The sequence below is a fragment of the Homo sapiens genome, chromosome 1, assembly GCF_000001405.40.
Source record: "Homo sapiens chromosome 1, GRCh38.p14 Primary Assembly".
In the NCBI taxonomy this organism is placed as follows: domain Eukaryota; kingdom Metazoa; phylum Chordata; class Mammalia; order Primates; family Hominidae; genus Homo; species Homo sapiens.
The window spans coordinates 169,599,671-169,625,735 of record NC_000001.11 but is presented as its reverse complement, the minus strand read 5'-3'; the positions used below and the strand labels follow the sequence as shown (position 1 = coordinate 169,625,735).

The window sequence follows — 26,065 nt, the reverse complement described above, 5'->3', positions numbered from 1 at the left end:
TATTTTTCCAACATTTTCTTATTTAGCATATTTTTGTCTTACTTTCAGTTATTCCTCTGCCATTATTCATTCATATATTTATCCATAAAATGTTTATTGAGTATTGAGTATGTGCCCTACCATGGCTGGGGATTCAGACCTGAGTAAGTAATAGTCCTTGCCCTTGAGAAGCCTCTGTCAGTAGCTTCCTCAGCTGTATGCTCACATGTTTGTTGCGCATTTAAATTGTGGACCTCCTGCTCAAGAGAATATTCAGAAACGGAGATGCTGATTAGAGGACATTGGAAACAGATGACCATAAGGAGGTCATCTTTACTTCCCAGGAAAGCAGAAGAATGAGAAGAGAATAGGGCCATGGAGGTGGGAACCTAGAGAAACACTTACCTCTGCAAGGGAAGGCAGAGGATTGAGGTAGATTCAGAAGAAGACTCAGAAAAGTTTCTCAAACATTAGAGCAGAAGAACAACAGAAGAGCTAAGGGAAGCATTTTAGGCAAAAGGAAGTAGTGGTATTTACTGCTACAGAAAGGTCAAGGAAGATAAGGGTGGAAAGTCTTCATTTGGTTTGGTAATGAGGATGTCAGCAATGAAGTTTGCAGGGACACTTTGATAGGATGGTCGGGCAGTGGGCTGGAGAGTAAGGGGGAGGCAAGGAAGTTAAGAAAGTTTAGCTATAAGAGGAAGGAGAGAAACAGGCAGATGTGGGCAGGAGGACAAAGGGTCAAGGGAGGGACATTGTTTGATTCCGCCTTTCTAAAAGCACAAAGCTGTGGTCTACAATGTAGACAAAAAGAACAAGATCTCCTTTCTGTGGCACTATTCTTGCCAACTTTGTAAGCCACCTGGAACGTGGCAAGCCATGGGACACCTACTAGCCTCTGGTACCTCCTTGTGTGAAAAGTTAGGTCAAGGCATTTGCTTCTTCCACTTTCTCTCTGCTTTTCTCTTCACCCTGCAATCATTATTAGTTTTTTTGCTTGTTTGTTTGTTTTGTTTTTTGAGAAAGAGTCTCACTCTGTTGCCAAGGCTGGAGTGTCTCGGCTCACTGCCACCTCTGCCTTCTGGGTTCAAGCGATTCTCCTGCCTCAGCCTCCCAAGTAGCTGGGACTACAGACATGTGCCACTATGCCTGGCTAATTTTTGCATTTTTAGTAGAGACGAGGTTTTACCATGTTGCCAGGCTGTTCTCGAACTCCTGACCTCAAGTGATCTGCCCACCTTGGCCTCCCAAAGTGCTGGGATTAGAGGCATGAGCCACTGCACCAGCCCAGTTCTTTATTAAAGTAAAATTAAAGATAATCATGGTACTTAATGAAGGCTTACACAGGCACAGGATGTTATTCTAATGACCCAGTCTCTGACTCCTTTCCAGCAACTTCCAGTTGAACCAGCCTTCCAGAGAACATTAAAGACTAGCAGAGCATGTGGATGCTTCTAGAGAGGAATTTCCTCTTGTTTTAGTATTTAACTTGCTTAGTAACACAGGACAGAGCAGCATCCTGCAGACTATAATGCAGAGTAGGAGCAGGTATGAGAAGGCCTGCCCACCCCAAGCAGGTTTCAGAGGAAAACTGTTACTCAAAGAAGATTTTTAAACATCATCCATTCTCCATACCTCCACACAAAATCCCTATCAGTTGCCTTACAGTTAACACAGAATCTTGAACTTGGGCCACATTAAACATGGACAGACTTAGTAGGTCATGAACCATCTGAGATTCTCTAAACTACTGCAAGCATGCATTTGTTTTGAAGAAATCTGACCACGGCTTTTATCAGATTTTCAAAATTCATAAGCCCTGGAAGAATAAGAATAACTGTGTTAACCCTATGCACATTCATGTGAGCAAGCTTGGGCAAATCATTTACGCTCACTGAGTCTCAGTGGTGGGGAGTGGTGGCTGCCCCATCTTAGGCATTCGAAGTCTGAAAGACTTCCTGCAGAACAGCAGATAAATGCTAAGTTGGCTTGGAAGTGACCTTTATGTTCTCCTATAGCTCTGAAATAACCTGTAAGAGGTGAATCTTGGTATTTGGTGATGCATAGAAACAGAAAAGTATGTCAGATTAAAGCAGGGGATGCACACTGACTTGCATTTTCCTTTCTTAGATGTTGTGCCTTCATCAAAAGCACTGTACCAGTCCTCTAAAACCTTCAAATGTTTAAAACAAGTTGTCTCGCTCTCTCTCACTTTGTTTTATCTTGTGTGGTAGAGAATTTGCTGATGAAATTTTGCTTAAAAAAAGTTCAAACAAACAAACAAACAGGTTAAAATGGGAAACATCTCTTTTTGGAAATTTTGTTTAAACCAAATCTTATTTAAAAGTTTAAACAAACAAGTCAAAGCAGGAAACAGTGGGTAGGGTTGGCCACTGTGATGGGAGACTGGGAGCCTCACCGACTCCTTCGCCCTACACACTCTTGTGAGCTGGCCCCAAAGCCAGGGAAATCCCTAGAAATACTCTGTTCAGGGAGAAAACCACTTCCACAGGAAGAGTACCACTAAATTTAAAATCGTTGCACTCCTTCTGCAATCTGTCTGAATAGAGCAAAGCCCAGGTTCAAAGGCAAGCACTCAGGTCCCCTTCATGAAGGCTGCAGAGTTGTGCTCTTCAGCAGCAATATTTTTGCTCCTATACCTCCAAAAATATCCTGGAACACTATGTTACCTCTTACACCTTTCTAAGTGGAAAGCTACAATTTTTTATCCCAAATTTTAAAAGCAAAAGAAGATTGGATTTTCCAGTGTATTACAAAAATTAGACTGTAAAAATAAAATTGTTACATAATTTCTTAAAGTTTATCCAATGGAATAAAGTACTAGCATGATCTGCAATCCTCATCACTTAAAAGACCACAAGCAGGCTCTTAAGAAATTTTATATTATTCATTTTTCTCTCCTTGAATAGTTATTTCTATCCCACTTCTACAGTATTTAGCCTAAGATTACACATTTTAAGCTTAAAGTATTTTCTTGATTATTATACTTCTTTGCAAAATAAAAATATAAAATTTCAATTTTCTACAACTGTAAGTCTCTATGTGTTAAAATGTTTTTCTTTTCTATTGAGTTAGCATGACAACTACTTTCAGTACACAATTAAATAAAGTAAATATACTGCAAGTTTTGACAAGTAACTTAAACCTTTATATTTAAATTGCTATTAAAGATTCATCTCTAAGACAGGAGGAGCTTTCCCTCATTTGTTCATATATCCATGAATGAATATTACTTATCAACAAAATTAGACAAGTTTGGCATCAATATTATTCCCATATTTCATTTTCAAGGATTTAAACATTGAGAAACTTCATTCATATGAATAAGTAAATGGAATTAGAAGTTTTATTATAGCAATGTCTCAATTCCTTGAAGTCCTTCCAAGTTATATGCCCCAAATTATATAGTGATTTACTATCAAAATTTAGTCAGACTTGACAACTTAATCGGGTGCTCCCTCAAAGCTGATGAAAGGAAATAAATGGAAATCACTAGACTTGAAAACGGATTTGCTGCAATATCATTTACAATATTCAAATTCTTAATACCTATACCAATATTTCGAATCATCTCTGGCATACGAATGTATTTATATCCAAAGGCAAAGCTCTGGAATAAATAAGAAATTAGTAAAAGGTATAATTTTTCTCTTATAAAGTGGGAGAAAGGTGTATTTTAGGCAGATTGTTTTTAAGAAAGTATATATGTGAAAGTTGAGAATCTGAATACAGATTTAATTAACACTCTCTTTGCTTGTGAACCCCTTGGGAAGTCAGCCTTATCCTGGTTTGAAGAATTCCACTTCAGCATTTGGAATGGTGCATTTTGAAATGTGATAGGAAGAACAGCTTGTGACACAACACAATTCAGAGAAAGCAGTGGGGTTAGGTTCGCACCAAAGGGTTATCGATCACTCTGCATTTTGTGCAAATAAACAGCTGTAAATCATAACGTTATGATACTCTCAGTGTTTAATCATAGGTCCTGCAGAGATCAGCAGCTTATAAGAACACAAAATATGCCTACTTACCAAAGTCAAGATTCAGAAGCTCCCAGATGAAAAGTTCTAGGCTTATGAGATAACTCTACTCTCTGGGACACATTAACTGGTTTGAGTTGAGTTCTCCCTGGTATCTGGTCAGGCTGTAGTCAAAAGTGCATGAACACATGCACACACATGACCCCACACTGTCCCATGCACCCTACTGGGCGTGACACATACACAACCCCACACTGTCCCATGCACCCTACATAATCCATCACTGGGCGTGACACACACACACACACACACACACACACACACACAACCTCACACTGTCCCATGCACCCTACATCATCCATCACTGGGTGTGACACACACATACACACAATCCCACACTGTCCCATGCACCCTACATCATCCATCACCAGGACATGATACATGAACACACACACAACACCACACAGTCCCATGCACCCTACATCATCCATCACTGGGGTGTGACACAAACACACACACACACAACTCCACACCATCCCATGCACCCTACATCATCCATCACTGGGGCATGACACACGAACACACACACAACCCCACACAGTCCCATGCACCCTACATCTCATCACTGGGGTGTGACACACACACACACACACACACACACAACTCCACACCATCCCATGCACCCTACATCATCCGTCACTGTGGCATGACACACACATACACACAGAACCCCACACTGTCCCATCCACCCTACATTATCCATCACTGTGGCATGACACACACACACACACACACACACACACACAGAACCCCACACTGTCCCATGCACCCTACATCATCCATCACTGGGGCATGACACACGCATACATACACAACTCCACACAGTCCCATGCAGCCTACATCATCCATCACTGTGGCATGACACATACACACACACACACACACACACACACACACACAACCCCACACCGTCCCATGCACCCTACATCATCCATCACTGGGGCATGACACACGAACATACACACAACCGCACACCGTCCCATGCACGCTACATCATCCATCACTGGGGCATGACACACGAACACACACATAACCTCGCAGCAAATTGTCACAGACCAAATTGTGGTCTGAGGCAATTTGAGATTTCTTTACAGGAAAGGTTTTAGGTAGCAGTCTGGCTGGGATAGTGACAAAACTGCAAATGCATAGCAAATGCACTGTTTTTATGTTGATAGTAATGTTGAGTGGCTTTAGAGGGGAACTGATGTAGCAGCTAGGCTTGGTCATGTCGCATGCTTTATCATCCAAAACAGCAATGCAGCATGGGATTTAGAAGCCTGGAGGTTAATGAAGGTTAAAAAAAAAAAAAAAAAAAAGTACAGTGGAAAGAGCTCTTTCTTGTTTCAAAGTCAAGCTCTGCTACTGTCATTCTGAACGTGTTATTTAGATGCCCCAAGCTTCAGTATTTTCATGTGCAACATGAGGAAGTCGGACAAGATGAGCATCACTAGAACTTAGATGCCCAAAAACATTTTTTGTTGTTTTTTTGAGACGGAGTCTTGCACTGTCGCCCCGGATAGAGTGCAGTGGTGTGATCTCCGCTCACTGCAACCTCCGCCTCCCGGGTTCAAGCGATTCTCCTGCCTCGACCTCCCAAGGAGCTGGGATTACAAGCACCCGCCACCACACCTGTCTAATTTTTTTTTAATGTACTTTTAGTAGAGACAGGGTTTCACTATGTTGGCCAGGCTGGTCTTGAATTCCTGACCTCATGATCCGCCCACCTCAGCCTCCCAAAGTGCTGGGATTACAGGCATGAGCCACTGTGCCTGGCCCCAAAAACATTTTAAAAATATTCATAGATTTGATGAAATCCCAACAGAAGAGAGTTCATGAGAAATAATAGTTGCTATAGATCCAAGGGGAACAAGTTTACTGCATATATTAAGAAATATTAAATATATACATACATATGTATATTAAACATTGAATAGTATTGTAGATGTGTACAGAAATGAAAAAGCAAGAAGATAAAACAAAGATCCATAGTACAAAATAGATGGCATAGCATAACACAATTTGTTGATGCTCTGCACCTCAAAGTATAGGTTAGACATTATTTGTGTGGGTCAGGAAGTTCTCATGTGACTTTCTGTTATTCTTGGGTATGACATACCACTTCTTAAAAAGATTGTTTTATAATAATAATGACAGCCATATTAATGTGTTTAGCTTTCTTCCATACACATTAAAAATGTATCTTAAAATAAAAACATTGGTGGCACAAACTACTCAATAAACATTTGTTGAATGAATGAAGAAATGAACTCTGTCCCCAGCCTTGCTACAGTGTCCATCCAGGGTAGAACTTAGAAGCAGGGCAATGAGAAGCAAGAAGGAAGCAGAGGGCTTGAACCACTCTTCCAGTGGAAATTGGCACAATTATACTTCAACATAATGATTGTTAACTAGAATTATTTTTGGCCATGTTGGTGGTGTATGGATACTAAAAGAAAGTTTTCTCTTCTTGTTTCAGGCCAACTGCCAAATAGCCATCTTGTACCAGAGATTCCAGAGAGTGGTCTTTGGAATTTCCCAACTCCTTTGCTTCAGTGCCCTGATCTCTGGTAAACTTTATGCTAACTTTTCACTTAGGCCTAAGTAATTAGGGTAGAGCCCAGATCTATGTGTGAGAAATTTAAGGATTGTAGCCAGTTGGTTTGAGGCATGGGAAAACTGTCCAAGTCCAGATTGCTGGAAGACAAATGTACCCAACGCCATCATATTGGTAGAAAGGGCATAGGAAAGAACTTAAAATGATATATCCAGGACGAATGTATCCATTAGGCACAGTAGACACAGACGCACAAAATTTTCAAAGACCCACACACGTCTGAATTTCTTTTATAATTATTTTCTTTGAAGTCAAAGAAAATGTTTTAATATATAGTGATATATTCATCTTTGTACCAGTGCAGTTGCAAAATAGAATTTTTAATATGTTAGCATGGAGGAAGAAGCCTACATAGGCAAAGTTGCCTGAAGTCTATGAAAGTCATAATGCAGCCCTGGCTATATCAGAATGAAGTCTTTAAGGCAAAACAATGCCCTGGAAATGTCAGCAAGGGAGGTACAAGCATGACTAACCCTCATGCAGGCAGCAGAGGAGAGGGTTGGATAGAAACAAGCCTTTAAATAAACAGGAAAGAAACCCATTTCCAGGCCTGATTGCTTGCTTTGTACACCTCTTCATGTGGGAAATGGCCTCTCCTGCCCCGGGTGGACTCCCACAGACTATGATAAGAGTGCTGTAGTACCTTTATACTTTTGAAACGCACATTCTTTAGTTCATTTGGTATCAAAAACACTTGTGAAAAAGGGCTGTTCTGAGCCCTATCTTAATAAGGGAGTATTCAGACATGGAAGAAGTAGAGTAGTTAATGAAAGACAAACAGCCAAGAAGAATGGAAAGACTATAAGATTGCAGATCAGGATATCTGATTTCCCACCCGGGTTCTGCCACAAACCTACTGTGTTTCACTCATTCAACAAGTATTTATTGAAGGCCTATTAAGTGCTAAACTCTAGGCTCAGTGCTAAGGATCCAAAGCTAAAAAGAAAACACCGTCGGAGATTTACAACCTGGCAGATGTAGACTGTATCATAGAAACAGACATTACCGTACATGGCAATGAGCACAATGGAGGCAGGGATGAGGTGCTGTGGGAGCCTGGAGGAAGGAACACAGAGTCCACCTGGGAAAGCCATGGAGAATAGGTGGAGTAAAGTTTATCAGACATAAGAAGAGAGGACAGCCAGGATTGTGGGGAGAGCATGTGCAAATTCAAGGAAGTAGGAATTCTGTTTTGCTGAGAAAGTACATACAGTGGGCAATGAGGCTGGACCAACTGGTAGGCTCCAGGTCATAAAGCATGTTATTTTCCATGTGAAGAGGTAGAGCTTGCCCTTAAGACATTTTATATGTCATTTAATCTGAGCTTGGGCAAATTACTTATGTCTCCTTCTTTTATAAAAGGACAGGAGTAAATTAGATGACTTCCAGGGTCCCTCCTAACTTTGATATCTTATGATTCCAAACCTTTAACATCAAGGATCCTCAGAAGATGACATTTTCCTATTCTGACATCATTCACACTTTTAAGTGAAAGGTGGAAACCACTCTTTTTCCTTCAAACAACTACATTAGACATAAACTAGTCGTTGTTTTGTGTATTAATGTTCTGGTCGGAAATTCATCTGAGTATGCAGAAGCATACTTGGGATCACGGCCTCTTTTTTGGTGAGGGGTACTAACCTGGCACTCACTCTCCTTTACTCTAGAACTAACAAACCAGAAAGAAGTGGCAGCATGGACTTATCATTACAGCACAAAAGCATACTCATGGAATATTTCCCGTAAATACTGCCAGAATCGCTACACAGACTTAGTGGCCATCCAGAATAAAAATGAAATTGATTACCTCAATAAGGTCCTACCCTACTACAGCTCCTACTACTGGATTGGGATCCGAAAGAACAATAAGACATGGACATGGGTGGGAACCAAAAAGGCTCTCACCAACGAGGCTGAGAACTGGGCTGATAATGAACCTAACAACAAAAGGAACAACGAGGACTGCGTGGAGATATACATCAAGAGTCCGTCAGCCCCTGGCAAGTGGAATGATGAGCACTGCTTGAAGAAAAAGCACGCATTGTGTTACACAGGTAGGGCCTTCTCTACTTTGAAACTTTCCTGTTAAAAAAAAAAAACCCTGCCTTCTCTGGTTGGCCAACATAACCACCGAGTCAACACAAAGATACAAAGGCAGGACATGAAATCAAGGGGTAAATTGTTAGTCAATCAGTATTATTGAGCACCTTGAAGAATATAAGATCAGAATTAGAGAAAACTAGCTGCTTAAAACTAGAGGGAAATTTTAATATCATCCAGCTCACCTGTCTCATCTTATAACTGATGAAAAGGACACTCACGAGGTTTTAGTTTCTCAAGGCCGTGGAGCAGGACAGAAGCAAAGTGAGGACCAGAAACCAGTCTCCCAAATTTTAGGTGTAGAGCTTTTTTTTCACCCCTGTGTCTTGTATAACAGAGAGTGTAAATTGGAAGGAAATTTAGCCCTGCCCCTAGGTGACACAGCTGTAACTAATAGCTACTGAATGTCAGTATGCTCTAGGCATTGTGTTATTAGTTTATTTAGTTCATGTGTCATTTGCTCATTTAATATTAGTCAAATTTAGTCCTCATGACAACTCCATCAGTCAGGTTTTTCTATTACTCTTACTTTGCTGATGAGGGAAAGGCTCAGAGCTATTAAGTAATCTGCCCAGGGTTCTAAGCTAGTTGATGGTGGAGCCAGTTTCACACTCATGTTGATTCCAAAGTTGGTGTTTTTTAGCCATGTAAACTACCACATTCTTTGCTCTACATTTTTATGAGACAATTTGAGAATATAACCAAGGATTGTAAATGCTTTATAGTTTCTCTTCAACAACAACATATCTTTAGATCCATTGAACTTTGGTGGGAGGGTAGTGGTGGGGAGTGGGCAGGAAAGGAAAGAAGTAATTGAAGGTGAAATACTTCGAGTGTATTTTAATTCTCAACTTTACCAGTGCCAGAGTAAGCAGACATTCCTGAAAGCTTGGTCTTCCTCTAGTCACGAGCCTAGTGTCAGAGCTGATTCCTTCTTTCTGATGTTGCTTCCCTGTCCAGAGGGGCCGGTTCTGTCCTTTGTAGCACACGAACACTGTGCCTAAGGATGGTATGGACTGCCCCGAGCAGGAAGTTTCTAAGTACTCTGAAGCTTCTTTGATAAATCATCTGCCATACATATTCTGAATTCTTTAGATTTTAAACACCTCTCCCTCAGAAGCCCTCAACAGTACAGGTATGGAACAGAATACACAGAATAAAGCAAGCCTTCTACATTGTCCCTCTTCTCCCCAAGCCTCCTAGCTGAGGCAAAACATATCCATGAATGCATTATCATATAATCAGATCTACTTTATAAATAATGCATTTATATATAAATAAATTGATTAATTGAGCATATATTCATGGATCAGGATGGACATTACCAGGATATTAGCTCATCCTACTGCTCTCCCAGTCAGCTCTCTACCCCTTTCTGGGCTATGCCTCCCTAGAATTATCTCTTATCAGATAACCTTGACTGCCACTAGCTGTTTCAATATGCCACTACTTCCCCTTCACACCCAACCTTCAAAATCCATTTCTGCAAGACAGTCTTCCTCAATAAAGCTTGCCAAAAAAATTGCAAGATAGAAAAAAGATAAAAAATTACTGGCATAAATGATGACACTCCTCTAACCCACAACAGTGGTAGAGACATCACTAATTAATACAACTTTACCTGAACACAGATGGGTTTTATCTCCACCAACACAGTACTCTAAGCAGCCACTACCATTGATTGTCGTTTTGCCATCTAAGATGTAAAGGATGTAGAGAAGCATCAATTATCCATGGGAGATGAGAAATAGATATATTTACTGTAATATGAAATTAAGTTTGATTGTTGGAATAATTCTCCACATGTCAGGAATTATTAGACCTCAGAGCAGGCTATCGAAAAAAGATTTATTCATTGAATCATCATGAATAAATCATCTTCTCCCTGGAGATCCAAAGGAATAGACAAATTGCTAACCTATCTATTCAGGAAACCCTGAAATGGGATAGAATACAGAACATTGTCTCTTTTTTTCCCCTAGAGTTCTGAGATCCCAAGGAAGCTATAATTGGGGAAACATTTGTATGCTCCAAGAACATAGGGCAGGCAGGGGTTGCTACTGTAAGGTATTAAGACATTGGTGGGGTTAAGGTCAGGGAGCGAAGTGAATAGGATGTGGACCAAACCTGTATCCATTTAGCTGCTATTGCCTCCTACATCTTCTCTTTATTTGAACCCTTCCCAGTGTCTCAGTGCAGCTTCACCAAATTCACTGGCTGCCACAGGAACTTCTTCCTATAGAACCTTGCATGGTTTATAGAATTTTAGTATCTCAGAATTGAGAGGAAACATAGAGATCATGTAGCACAGCATATCCACATATGACATATGGATATTCTTTTGTAATATACTTCCAAGTGAACCAGCATGTGGACAGGGCTTAAGACAGAGGAAGTAACCACCAGAAAACAGTTCAGCCATAGAACTTACCCCCAACTATGACCTCATTAATAAAAACATCTCAGTGCTTTGAAAGTATCAATTCTAATACTAATTCTCATCAAGTGCATATACCCTAAAATACTTTCTTGCAGGAAAGAAACCATGGCCCTTCTCTATTCTGTCACCTGAGTGGCACTATCTTGGTGAAGAGGACATGGCAGTTCAGCCATAGTCAGTACTCTCTTCGCCTGCTGTATTCAGACTCATGAAACATCACCTCATAAGATTGTTTGTCCTTTACCATGAGTACGTCTTAAACATCTCATTTGGCTCCTCTGTTTCTCCACTGTAGGATTCTGGACATAGATTTGAAGCAAATGAAAGGTGAAAGGGTTTGGGCTCTAACACTGTGCAAGCTGAGCTCAGAGAAGTAACTTGCCTAAGGTCACATAGCAAGTAGGCAGCAGAGCCAGGATTCATATCACACCTGTGTGACCCCACGCCCCACATCTGGTGCCTAACCTCAATGCAGTAATACGTGACATTGGGCTTCCATAATAAAACAATGCTTGGTTTGAAAACCACAGCCCATTTTGTACCACATAGGGTTTCTCTGTCCACACATCTGTCATTGGCTCCATTTGTCCCTCTGTGTCCACACACAACAATACCCTCCTTAGGAAATACTAAATGCAGTATGAAATGGGAGCCACGCAATACTCCAGCAGGCCCCTACAATGCTTTTCACAAGGGACAGGTTGGCTCTCTAGAAGATACTGTGCTTCCCTCTTGTCTGGCTAGCTCAGTCCTATCTGAGAGGGGATGAGTCTGTGGTCAAAACGAGAATTCAGCCTTTCCTCACATCTGTGAATGTCCATGACTCTGACCTTTCCATATCTATGCAGCCTCCTGCCAGGACATGTCCTGCAGCAAACAAGGAGAGTGCCTCGAGACCATCGGGAACTACACCTGCTCCTGTTACCCTGGATTCTATGGGCCAGAATGTGAATACGGTGAGGCTTCCTTTTTGTTGATATTATTTTGGTTTTATGCTAGAGATGATGCCAAGAAGTAAATAAATCATGTTGAAGTCTCTCCAGTGAGAATAGGATGGTACCAGCCCCCCTCTATCATCTGTCTCCTCCACTCAGTGTCCCTAGACACACACTCTAGGTAAAAACATTTTATTCTTGGGAGAAAACATTGACTCATAAATTTCAAAAAAGAAAAGGGAAAGGGAAAGGAAGCAAAACCAACAGAACTTTCAGGCTAATTTTACTTGTTTGAAGTAAAAACTTGTGAAAGAATGACTATTTCCCAAGATGCAGCCAATACAAAGAGACCAAGTAGAGATGGATAGCTTGGGTTAAAAGTTTAGAAAATTAGAGTTAAGAGGGTTACACAAATAGTTACAGCTTTCAGCAAACATGACATTGCTGTTAATTCTACATGGAAAATAAAAATCACTATTTTGTCTCCTGCAGTGAGAGAGTGTGGAGAACTTGAGCTCCCTCAACACGTGCTCATGAACTGCAGCCACCCTCTGGGAAACTTCTCTTTTAACTCGCAGTGCAGCTTCCACTGCACTGACGGGTACCAAGTAAATGGGCCCAGCAAGCTGGAATGCTTGGCTTCTGGAATCTGGACAAATAAGCCTCCACAGTGTTTAGGTATGTAGACCTTATTCTTTTCATCCTCACTGACATAGAATTTTGGGGGAGAAGAGGACACAATGAGCTTTCTCCATTAAAAAATGTGAGAAATAATGACCATCTAGGTTAGATGGAAAACTCTGGTTATCACTGTTAACTGTCAACCAGAGTAACATTAATTTCAATTTTCATGGTATTTTTTTATGGGTAGAGTGACTTAGTCAGTTTAATTGTTGATTCGCAGGCAAAAACATTACAAAGGGACCCCTCTTTCCCTTTGTTAATTGTAAAGTAAACAGAGTACAATGATGAGGACTTAGGGGTTAAGAATTATTAATTTGATAATTTTACCTAACTTCTCTACATGAAAAACAAGGGTGTTTGATCTTTCCAAGCAGCTATTGAAAACACCATTTAACCATTCTAGTGCATCAACCTGCCTGCCACTTTGGGAAGGTGTGACTGCTGCAGAATTTGAAGGCTTCCAAGGTGATGGACAAAATTTGTCCAAGGACTCACACTATTATTCTGTGGTTGGTTTTAGCTGCCCAGTGCCCACCCCTGAAGATTCCTGAACGAGGAAACATGACCTGCCTTCATTCTGCAAAAGCATTCCAGCATCAGTCTAGCTGCAGCTTCAGTTGTGAAGAGGGATTTGCATTAGTTGGACCGGAAGTGGTGCAATGCACAGCCTCGGGGGTATGGACAGCCCCAGCCCCAGTGTGTAAAGGTGAGTTTCAGGTAGTTGGGATGTATAATGTCCATTGCACCCAGTCCTTACTTAGTGCATAGATGAAATTGACCAGCTTATGGAGAAGCTGGCCTGAATTGCCAAAATTTAATTCTCTTCCTACCTGCCATTCAGCTAGATTGGGTTCATCTGAGATGAGAAAGGAAAAAAATTCCTTTCTTTCCCCAAACACAAATGCAGGCAGTTTCAGAATGGCCTCATTCATAATTTCCCCATAAGATTAGAAAGGGTGGCCTCTACATCTATAAGTGGACACTAGAAGACCTACTGAGACAGGTTTATAGAAGTATAGGGAATAGAGGACATTAAGAATACAGCTTGGAGGAATCTTTGTTTTTAACAGACTCAGATCACCCTGGGAACTGGTAATCCAAGTCTGGACAAACATCATTAGGGTCTCTTGACCTTTACATCTTGCTAGCTCCACCTGCATTTCAGAGGTGGTTCCACCATTGCTCTCTGTGTGGCTTTTCTCCTTTCTCAGTATCTTTCTCTTTATCCTTGGTTATTCTCTCCAGCTGTGCAGTGTCAGCACCTGGAAGCCCCCAGTGAAGGAACCATGGACTGTGTTCATCCGCTCACTGCTTTTGCCTATGGCTCCAGCTGTAAATTTGAGTGCCAGCCCGGCTACAGAGTGAGGGGCTTGGACATGCTCCGCTGCATTGACTCTGGACACTGGTCTGCACCCTTGCCAACCTGTGAGGGTAGGATTTTTCATTAGCAACCTCCATTCTGTCCAAGAAGGAATCATGGCATGGTAGAGAGGCCAAGGGCTCTCAGTGTCGGGGTGATCTCTTCTAAGTTCTTGCACTAGAGCAAGCTCTTCAACCTCCAGGAACCATGGTTTTCTCATCTGTGAAATGGAGCTAAGAATTGCAAGGTGCTTGTGAGGATTAAGTACATAAAAAGTATACAATTAAATAGCATGTATAAAGTACCTAGCATAGAGCTTCTGCTCTACTGACATATCCGAGGTATAGGACCATGTCCTATACTTGAGAGGGAGTTGGGAGCAGCGGCTAAGGTGGCTAAAGAGAGTGGTTCACCATGTAGTCTTTGAGGGTAGCCTTTGACAAAGAAGCAAAGGAAGGAACACTGCATCGAAAAAGTGTGTGATGCAATCCCAGGCAATTACATAATTCCGCCAAAATGAATTCTCTGCAATTGCCTCACACCCTCAGTTTATAAGGCGGACAGTGGTAATGGGAGAATAGGAAATTTACGATAGATTAGTGAATTCCCAGACCTGGATGACAAGCCCAACCCTGCTACTATCTAGCTATGAGACTTTAGAGAAGTCACTTAACACTTCTGAACCTCACTTTTCTTGCCTAAAACATAAGAGAGAAGAGAGAAACACTAGAGGATTTTGGTGTTTTTGTTTGTTTGTTTGTTTGTTTGTTTGTTTGTTTGTTTTGAGACAGAGTCTCACTCTGTCGCCCAGGCTGAAGTGCAGTGGCACGATCTCAGCTCACTGCAACCTCTGCCTCCCAGGTTCAAACGATTCTCCTGCCTCAGCCTCCCGAATAGCTAGGATTACAGGCAACTTTTTGTATTTTTAATAGAGACTAGGGTTTCACCACTTTGGCCAGGCTGGTCTCAAACTCCCGACCTCAAGTGATTCACTCACATCAGCCTCTCAAAGTGCTGGGATTATAGGTGTGAGCCATTGTGCTCAGCCGGATTTTTGGTTCTTAAATGCTCTGAGTCTGTAAAAACCAGAGGTCAAAGCCCAGAGCAAAGAGGTAGTCTTTACACTTTGAAAAGTTTCAGAAATAGCCTGGAAATGAAATGCTTTATCAAGGAAGAGCATGAGGAAACCAATCTTTATCAGAACTGAGGTCACTCAGGGCTTAATTGTGCTCAGGAATTCACTTTGGCTGCACTCACTTGGCAACTGAAGTCTGATTAGGATGACATCCTGTGTTCTAGAGACAAAGCCCGGTCAGGATCATTTTACAGGACTAGGTAACAGTGTCAACAATAAGCTATGCTAGTCCAGCTTTTTTTTTTTTCCCTATAAGTCCAGCATTTTCCTGTATATACTCTTTTCAGGTTCAATTTCACAGATAATGTCAATATTTAATGAGCACTTTCAATGTACAAAACACTCTGCTCAGCTCCAGAATAAAACTATGAATGACTGAGCCCAACTTCGAGGAGACCACGGTATAATGGGGAAGAATGACAATCATGTATGAACAGCGCAAGAACAGAGGCTGTGGGAGCACATTGCAGGGGCTTCTACCCTTAGTTAAGGTGGGAAGGGAGGGCTTCCTAAGGAAAGGGAAGTCTAAGCTGAGACCTGAAGGGCAGGTGAGAGTGAGTCAGGCCAAGAGGGGCATGGGAAGGTGTTCCAGGCAGTCTCTCTTTTGGAAAATGGAGGTTTTAGGGTTCTGAACACACTGAAAATGTGGACAGGAAAGATATAGCATCTAGGAATTTTTTCTGAGGAAGAACCCGGCCCTTCCATTACCTGGCTTTAGAAGATACCTTTTCCACTTAGCTATTTCGTGTGAGCCGCTGGAGAGTCCTGTCCACGGAAGCATGGATTGCTCTCCATCCTTGAGAGCGTTTCAGTATGACACCAACTGTAGCTTCCGCTGTGCTGAAGGTTTCATGCTGAGAGGAGCCGATATAGTTCGGTGTGATAACTTGGGACAGTGGACAGCACCAGCCCCAGTCTGTCAAGGTACTGTAACAGTGGTAATGTTTTTCTGTGTGTCTCAGCTCGTTAGAGGCATCAGCATCTGCACTGAGCATTGGCATGCCTTTCTTTATCAGATATTCACTGAGAACCTACTATGGGCCATGTCCTTTGTGCTTGGGACCAGGGATGAGATGAAACGGTGCGTGAAGCCAGTCTTAGGCACATGTCCACTATAGTATAGTCAAGGTGAGGTTTGCACTGATTGACACATATAGGGTGCATTGGAATGAAGAAGATGGGGCTTGGGGGAATAAATCATGCATGAGGAATAGCATGGGATGGGGAAGGGTAATGGACAAGGTGTTTAGCTCAGTCCTGTCACTTCCTGTCCTTAAGCTAGTGGTTTAGACTCTCTGAGGCTCAGTATCTTCTGTAAAATGGGGCTACTATTATCAGCCTTACCTACCTGCCTCACTAGTAGTTGTGAATTAATGTGTGTAAACGCAACTTTAAAACTCTTATAGGATTTATAGGGAAAATGATGATGATGACATGTTACCTTATAAATCACATGTCTGTGGTCTGATTTGACAAAATGATCCTCTTTCAATATGTTAGGTTTCTAATCTTTTGCTCTTATACTAAGGCACTCATGGGGGGCGGGTGTGGTGGTTCACAAGGATTATTATTTTTTTTACGAGGAGTACCTCACACTAAAGTCATGTTCCAGAAGTGTAATATTGACATTTTGTGTTTTCATTTACGGAGACCTCTGAGCAATCTATGTGACTCCTCTGGGTTCCTAAGTATACCTTGATTTTAAAATGAGGCAGTGGTTTGAAAGCAGGTCTTGAAGAGATATTTGTGCACCCATGTTCATAGCACTATTAATCACAACAGTTAAAATGTGGAAGCAACCCAAACACCCATCAATGGATGAAAGGATAAGTAAAAAGTATTCCACATACTTACAGTGGAATATTATTCAACCTTAAAGAGGAAGTAAATTCTGACCTCTGCTACAAACATGAATGAACCTTGAAGACATTATGCTAAGTGAAATAAGCCACTATGAAAGGACAAATACTGTATGATTCCACTCATATGAGGAACTTAGAGTAGTCAAAGTCATAGAGACAGAAAGTAGAACGGAGGTTGCCAAGGGCTCGGCGGAAGAGGGAAATAGGGAGTTATGGTTTAATGGATACGGAGTTTCAGTTTGAGATGATGAAAAGAGTTTTGGAGATGAATAATGGTGATGGTGGCACAATAATATGAATGTGCTTAATACCACTGAACTGTACACTTGATATTGGTGACATGGTAAATGGTAAATTAAATTTCATGCTACGTATATCTCACTATAATAAAAAATTGAACAGCAAAAAAAAAAAAAAAGAAAAAACAAGAAGGCAATAGAATAGATGGCTATACACCATGATGCTGACACTTAGTCTGAGTTATGGAATGTATTGTATATGTTATCTGGGAGAAAAAGACACAATGAGCTCTTTGACACACTTAAAACGGATCATAAGGGATTATTCAAGCCATTGTTGTCTCCAGGAAGGTAAATGTCTAATCAAGAAAAGATAGTTGGATATTCTCTTAAGTATCCAGAGATGTGGTCTCACTAACCCCCTTCATAGGCCTTCTGAATGTTTCCCACTCCTGAACTCAGTGTCTGCATGTGACGCAAAGCCTTAATGATATTATTACTATCTATTACTACCACTGCTACTAATATAGCAGCTAATGTTCATTGAGCACTTTCTATGATCTCAGTCTAACTCTATGAGGTAGTTACAATTATTACTACCATTTTAAAGATGAGAAGAGACAACACATGGAATATGTGTGCTCTCTTCGTATATGGTTATTTATTTTACATCTTTGAGATCATGGTGTATATTATAATTTTTACTCTGATTTTTTATTTAACATCATACATTGAGACCTCTCTCCTATCTTTACAAGTTAAAATATATTATTTTTAGTGACCTTTAACATTCTTTTCATGGATCCACCATCATTAATTTCCACCCTCAATTAATGGCATTTGTGTTTGTTTTCAATATTCCGCTCTTACAAATAATGTCTTCACAAAAATCTCTAAATAGATTTTTTGGTATGCATCTTGATTACATACTTAGCATAAATTCTTGGGTCCAAAAGCATGATAACTTAAAAATTATTGACACATGTTGCCAAGATGCTCAACAAAGGTTTAGCATTTCCTAATAAAATCCTTCATGTGCCGTTATAATTAAATGACACTTTTTCTTATCTTCTATGTTAAACAAGCCCAATTCAGGAATCCCTGTTCTTGACACTAGAAAGAGTTAATGGTCAAAAATCAATGAGTACATGTGTATTACTGTTTCTTTATTCCTTACTTCCTCATCCCTTAGCTTTGCAGTGCCAGGATCTCCCAGTTCCAAATGAGGCCCGGGTGAACTGCTCCCACCCCTTCGGTGCCTTTAGGTACCAGTCAGTCTGCAGCTTCACCTGCAATGAAGGCTTGCTCCTGGTGGGAGCAAGTGTGCTACAGTGCTTGGCTACTGGAAACTGGAATTCTGTTCCTCCAGAATGCCAAGGTAAGAGTGTATTCTTTCTAACATCATGGAAATAAATTGTAGGCAGTATTTTTAAAGGCTGGATTTTAGAGGTGACAACTATGTAAGATCCACCTTGAAATGGACTGGAAAATTCATAAATACTCTCACTCATCCTCTTGTCCTATAACCCAAGGATCCCAAATGCAAATGCCTCCGGGGGATAGGCAGATTACACAAGTGTCAGGATGTCTGGCCATAGACAGTAGGGCATGGCCCTTGCTAACTCCTTATCAGGGTCTTTACCCAGACCTGAAGGCTCCTGCCACAAACCAGGTAAACTCTTCTCACCTGGCCAAACATGGCATCTGGAAAGAAGACCAGGTGGGAAAAAAATTGCTTCAGAGTGGTTGTCCCAAGGCTGGTCTGGCACTTCTAGGAACCACAGGGTATAATGGTAAAATGGGAGGGGCAGAATTTACAAGTACCCAGTTGCAAACACTCCAAGATCTGTATAAAATTGGAGAAATAGACTTAGAATAAGGTGAAGAGTGATAGAAAAAAGAGAAAAACTAATCTGTATACTGGAGGTTACGGGATTCTCAGAAGAAAGAAATGTGTGGATTCAGTATAAACATTCTATCTGCATTGTACTTGATATACATACATTTTTTGAGACGGAGTCTCACTCTGTCGCCCAGGCTGGAGTGTAATGGCACAATCTCGGCCCACTGCAACCTCCGCCTCCCGGGTTCAAGCAATTCTCCTGTCTCAGCTTCCCGAGTAGCTGGGACTACAGGTGCCCACCACTGCACCCAGCTAATTTTTGTATTTTTGGTAGAGATGAGGTTTCACCATCTTAGCTAGGCTGGTCTCAAACTCCTGACCTCAGGTGATCTGCCTGACTCGGCCTCCCACAGTGCTGGTATTACAGGTGTGAGCCACTGCTCCCGGCCTTGTACTTGATATTTAACAAGCCAGTGTGCTCTGTCAGTATTGCAACATCTTGTATGAACTTGAACGGGTTCTAGTCATCCATGTTTGTGAATTGAAGGATAGACGTATATTTTTTATATTCCCCAAGCTTTTTCCCCCTCAATGTATCCAATTCCTTAGTTAACTTTTATAGACAATGCTGCTTTTTAAACGCAAGATTTTCATTTATAAAAATCTGCAGAAATATAATAAAGAAATGAAGAAATATCCTCTTAAATACTCCTATCCTAAAATAGACACTGTTAGGCTTCTGGTATGAATTCTTCCAATATTTTCTCCGCTTTTCCTCCTATGCAATTAATATTTTTATGATGTATATACAATTTTAACAATAAAGTTGAATGGGTAAAAGACTAGACAGTTCTACATTATTTGCCATACCTTTCACTTTGTATAGACTTTCAACATTTGAGTGAAAGTGGGCAGATACATATTTTTTACTAAAAGGAAACCACTCACTATTCAGGTCACACAAAAGCATAATCACATACACACACACACACCCCCCACACACACACCCCATTGTTAAGCTAGGTCAACAGTAAATGAATGAATGAATGAATGAATGAATGAATGAACAAATGGACAAGCAAACAGCAGAATTGAATGTCCTTCATCGCCAGGCACCAGAGAGGATGGCAAGCCCCTGGACTTAGGGTTGGGTGCACCTTCAGAGCTGGGTCTGGAGAGAACAGGGCGGGGCTGTGACCTTGCCCCTTAAGTGCTCATCCTGGCTACGTTGAAGTCTGGACATATCACAAAGTCCACACAACTTTGGGGAAGTTGTGGGAAGAACTGGGAATCCCTGAGGACAGTGATCACAGTGATTGAAACTCTTACAGGCAAGCCTGGGTGGTGCAGGGCACAGATTACAGTTCATTGCTCCATACTGTCCTGCCTCTGGGTGTTTCACAGCAAGGAGGTTGCCACTCACCACGGCTTCCTGTGACCTTCCAGTTCCCTTCTGCTTTTAGTTCTTTATTTACTCTGAACTTTCTCCTCTTGTTGCTGGGTGCACATCAAGTGAAATACCCAAATGTGGGCTGGGCAGGAAGGTACCATGCAGTGTGCAATCCACTCGCTGTTGTAATACTTCTGAGAGAGTGTTATCAGACAATTTCCCTTTTTAATGTCCTCCCACCCCTCCACATCTACCCCTGCTGTCAGAAGGCAAAGCCACAGAAGAGCTGGAAATGGGTTCTGTGGTACCAACATCCTCACCCACACCCTTTCCCCCATAAGTCCTTGCAGTTTATAGGCTTCTTGAGTTGTGTCCTCTCCAGCCCCACATACACACTTACTACAGAAATACTTTTCAACTAGAAGAAAAGAACCAGATCTTTGGACAAGTTGATCAGATTGAAAGGAATGTAGCTAGAGAGGGGAAGGAATGAAGGGAAGAGAAAGGCGTAGAAAGTGTTCTTGAAACCTCATGCTGTTTAAGTCAGTGGCTGAAAAATGACCCTAGGAGCAAGGACTTCATGTCTAAAACACCAAAAGCAATGGCAATAAAAGCCAAAATTGACAAATGGGATCTAATTAAACTAAAGAGCTTCTGCACAGCAAAAGAAACTACCATCAGAGTGAACAGGCAACCTACAGAATGGGAGAACATTTTTGCAATCTACTCATCTGACAAAGGGCTAATATCCAGAATCTACAATGAACTCAAACAAATTTACAAGAAAAAAACAAACAACCCCATCAAAAAGTGGGCAAAGGATATGAACAGACACTTCTCAAAAGAAGACATTTATGCAGCCAAAAGACACATGAAAAAATGCTCATCATCACTGGCCATCAGAGAAATGCAAATCAAAACCACAATGAGATACCATCTCACACCAGTTAGAATGGCGATCATTAAAAAGTCAGGAAACAACAGGTGCTGGAGAGGATGTGGAGAAATAGGAACACTTTTACACTGTTGGTGGGACTGTAAACTAGTTCAACCATGGTGGAAGTCAGTGTGGCAATTCCTCAGGGATCTGGAACTAGAAATGCCATTTGACCTAGCCATCCCATGACTGGGTATATACCCAAAGGATTATAAATCATGTTGCTACCAAGACACATGCACAGGTATGTTTATTGCGGCACTATTCAAAATAGCAAAGACTTGGAACCAACCCAAATGTCCAACAATGATGGACTGGATTAAGAAAATGTGGCACATATGCAAGGATTTTCCTTTTTCCCATTTCGAAGATAAAGCAACTGAGGCTCAGAAAGGTTATTGTCTAGTGATAGATTGCTAGCAAGTAACAGAGCCAAAATTTGGGCGCAGATTCCACCACTTGGTTGGGAAAGGGGGAAGAAAGTATTTTCCTCCATTTCTGTGTTTCCAATCATTTGTCATTGTTTTCTGGTAAGGTCATTGGGGTGTTTCTGAAGAAGGTATCAAGGGAGAAACCAGTTCCACCCCTGTCTAGAAGCAACAAAAATGAGTTGCACCACTATCCTCCCAAACAGAGCACCAGCTTCCTTTAAAAATCACCTCTAAAGCTGTTTGTGATTGAGCACTTCAGGATGTCAATCAACTGTAAGCTGCTGCTATTTTACACCTCTACAATCTCTAACTGGTGATGAAGCATCATGAAATTCAAACAATCACTTTTAGCCAAATACCATCGTTGTATATTAATCACACACACACACACACACACACACACACACACACACACACAGAGAGAGAGAGGGAGAAAGAGAGAGAGAGTTACAGAGTTCAGGTTGCTGAATTATAAAATGATCTCTTCTTTTCTCCTCTGCCATGCCCATGATAGCCATTCCCTGCACACCTTTGCTAAGCCCTCAGAATGGAACAATGACCTGTGTTCAACCTCTTGGAAGTTCCAGTTATAAATCCACATGTCAATTCATCTGTGACGAGGGATATTCTTTGTCTGGACCAGAAAGATTGGATTGTACTCGATCGGGACGCTGGACAGACTCCCCACCAATGTGTGAAGGTAGGCTGTGGGTCTGTCCTTTCTTATGGCTTTAAAGATGACATCAGAGAATGGAGAATCATCAGGGATTTATATAAAAGTGTTCTTGAGCTGAAGCAAACAACACTCTCCACAACAATGGTAATCTAGATAAAAAAGTTCTCCCTCTCTTTAAATAATATTTTAATAGCTTTAGTTAAATATTCCACAGTTTCAAGAACATCCTGGCCAACATGGTGAAACCCCGTTTCTACTAAAAATACAAAAAATAGCTGGGCATGGTGGTGCATGCCTGTAGTCCCAGCTACTCGGGAGGCTGAGGCAGGAGAATCGCTTGAACCCAGGAGGTGGAGGTTGCAGTGAGCTGAGATTGTGCCATTGCACTCCAGCCTGGTGACAGAGTGAGACTCTGTCTCAAAAAAAAATTGCACAGTTTCAGGAAGTGCTTTCATGTCATTATAGCATTCCTGTTTACCACAATTCTAAAATAATAAGGAAAGGCAGTATCATCTCATTTTATAGATAAGGAAGAGACACAAGCTTAAAGAGGTTAAATAACTCGTCCAGGGTCACACTGTTAGTAAGTGAAAAGGCTCAGCTCTATGTCACTGAAAGTTTTACTTCCTTACAGAGTCTTCTTCAGCTACATTCTTCATTTCTTCATTCCTACATTCACCTTCAACTGAGCATTACTAAATCCCAGCCACAGACCTTATTTAGGGATGGGTGAGATTTAACCCTAGCATAACTATGTGTGCACTTCCCTCCTCTCTCCACTTCTATATTGAATATAAGCTTCTTGAAGGCAGGAGCTGTGCCTTCTTCATCTTTATACCCCCTGCAGCAGCTAGACAGAATAAAAATGGGTGTGTGTGACAAATATCTGTTGAATTGAAGGTGATCATTTACCAGTAAAATTTACTCAAACACAAGCTTTGGTAATTTAGTGGAATTCTCAAAGGCAGGGGCCAGATCTTATCTGTCTTTAATTCCCCTGAGACATCTGGCTGGCAAAGTATCTAGTATATTTTATGTTCTAAAATAGAAGTGCACTGAATTAATTAATTCATAGCTCCTGTTTAGTTGCAAAAGGTGCTATTGTTCTAATGTATTGTTCAGTGTAGAGTTAGTAATAATGAGACCAGTGATAATGGTAATAATTATTGCTTAATGTAGGACTACCTATTTCATAAGCATCATCACATTCAATCCACACAAATGACCCTTAAGTTGGTTATTACTATGCCCATTTTAAAGGTGAAGAAACTGAGGCTTTGAGAGGTTAAGTAGCTAGCAAAGTTCATATAGCTTGAAGTATGGAGACAGGATGCAAACCCAGGCCTAGTCTGATTATAGGGCTAGTGTTTTGACCACTGAACTACACTATCACCCAGTGGCAGAGCTTCTGAATCTCAGGTAAGTCACTTGTGAATTTACTCTTTTCCACTCCACAGATTGCAGCTATAACTGCTAAATGAACTTTAGAAATGGCAGTGCCTGGTGATCAGATGAGAGAATATGTTGGTAGAAATCTATTCGTGTTACACAAAAACAGCTAAAATATTATTTATTCCTTCCTGTGGAATGAGCACTAGATTAATATCCAAAGACTTGTATTGCTCTCTCTCCAAGTCATGTGCCATTAGGAAAGTCTTGTCACACCCTTAGGCTCCCGTTTTCTCAATTCCAAAAGGAGAAGAGTGGACCAGACCATCTTTGAGGTCGCTTCCCTGGTCAAGAATTCTGTAGGGTGAAAGACATAAAATGCTACCATCTGCTGTCAAAAAGATATACTACAAGTTCCCTGAGAATTCTAGAACATGTATGGAGGAAAGCATTTGGGCTTGTGGTTTTTCACTCATTCATTTATTCCTCACTCTCTTATTCATTTATTCCATTGACATTTCTCATAAGTTCTATTTTCCCACATTTTAAGGCTAAAGAATATTTAAAAAAACCTTTAAAAATCTCATTCACATTTTAAATCATGTAGGCAACCAACATGGCTGCTAAATCTGTAATCTCTAAAGCCCTTGCTTCCCTTCACTACTTTCCAGCCCCCCTTTCTCTGCAGGAGGAGGCATTTGCCTCCCACTTTGCAGGCCCCATCCCCACTCACTGTCAAGACCCAACCCTGACCATGAACAGCAGCTTTAACCCACTATGGCCCTTGGAATTATCAACCTTGACTGATCCTGATCTTGAGCCCTGGTTTTTGCATTTGTGTTTCTTCTTCGTTCTCCAAATTTATGCTCTAAATTTAGGCAAATGGTTCCTCTTATTTTCCCATATGCCTGAACCCATTAATTTTTAACCCTCAGCACTGCCCCCTAGAACCCCAATTTTCACATGGTGTTTTGCAGAGTTCTAGGATACATCAGATGGACTCAGGGGCCTCCAAGTAAGCAGAGGCAGTGTGGCAGGTGGAGTTCTCAAGCTGTCTCTTCAGAGTGCAATGTGAGATTTCATTTTGGGGGATGGCTCTACCGATAGTTCCACTTTAGTTAGAATGCCGGTTCCCTGGGCCCTCTGGGATGTGGCCTCTGCCTAGTTGTTCCTCAGTATCTGCAGGGGGAATTGGTTCCAGGACTCCCTGCAGATACCAGAATCCCCAGATGCCCAAGTCACTTATATAAAATGGCATAATATTTGCATATAACCTACATACATTCTCCTTTAGACTTTTAAACCGTCTTTAGATTACGTATAATACCTAATGCAAAGCCTACACATCACTTCATCTGCATGGATTCAACATACTCAGCACATGGCAAATTCAAGTTTTGCTTTTTGGAACTTTATATAATTTATTTTTTTTCTGAATGTTTTTGATCCACAACGAGTTGAATCCGTAGATGCAGAACCCTTGGATACAGAGAGTCGGTTATTTTTCAGCCTTGTCTCTGCCTTTGCCCTTCAGGACCTGAAGTCCTTTTCATGAGCCTAAGCAGTGCTTGAGGTTCTTGTGCCAACTTTGATGATGCCACCTGCATGATGGAGTGCTTGTACACAGTTTCCGTATCCCTCCTGTCCCTGCCTGTTGGACCACTTTCATGATACAGACTGCTGAATTCCTAATCCCTTAACACTGTCTGTCATTGATCCTCTGGTGACCATGTTTGGCTGCTGAACCCAACTCCTAATGTCTATTTTCACTGCGTGGGGAGGGGTCCTGGTTCCAAGTCCCAACCTCAACTCTGCTCTTCTGCCATGTGCCTGCTTACTCACGTCCTAAAATATGGTGAACTGGTGCCCCCTAAAACTCTGGCCCAGCTGACATCTCCATTTTTTTCTTCATTCCCCCAACATTTCTCTGAATCTGTGGGGCTTCCTAGTTTTATTCCTAAAGTTTGAGTTTACAATATTCAACTCAGAT

The 26,065-nt window shown here is 41.3% G+C and overlaps 1 protein-coding gene across 7 annotated transcripts in view, besides 1 other annotated feature; it reads left to right on the top strand.

Annotated features, from left to right (window-relative positions):
* Positions 1 to 26,065, top strand: part of SELP (selectin P) — a 41,276-nt gene that overhangs the window by 4,389 nt on the left and 10,822 nt on the right. For 5 of the 7 annotated variants that reach the window (XM_005245439.3, XM_005245438.3, NM_003005.4 and 2 more), the window contains exons 2-10: positions 6,517 to 6,607; positions 8,322 to 8,708; positions 12,043 to 12,150; positions 12,622 to 12,807; positions 13,334 to 13,519; positions 14,059 to 14,244; positions 16,047 to 16,232; positions 18,602 to 18,787; positions 22,525 to 22,710. In XM_005245439.3, coding sequence (XP_005245496.1) covers positions 6,517 to 6,607; positions 8,322 to 8,708; positions 12,043 to 12,150; positions 12,622 to 12,807; positions 13,334 to 13,519; positions 14,059 to 14,244; positions 16,047 to 16,232; positions 18,602 to 18,787; positions 22,525 to 22,710 — 1,702 coding nt within the window. The remainder of the gene's footprint in view (positions 1 to 6,516; positions 6,608 to 8,321; positions 8,709 to 12,042; positions 12,151 to 12,621; positions 12,808 to 13,333; positions 13,520 to 14,058; positions 14,245 to 16,046; positions 16,233 to 18,601; positions 18,788 to 22,524; positions 22,711 to 26,065) is intronic. The other 2 variants (XM_047427583.1, XM_005245440.3) reach the window with 1 other exon arrangement.
* Positions 20,758 to 20,867: an enhancer, noted in NCBI's record as "active region_2075". NCBI's record gives its function as "activates an Ori minimal core promoter by ATAC-STARR-seq in GM12878 lymphoblastoid cells {active_cell/tissue: GM12878}" and the evidence as "EXISTENCE:reporter gene assay evidence [ECO:0000049][PMID:35858748]".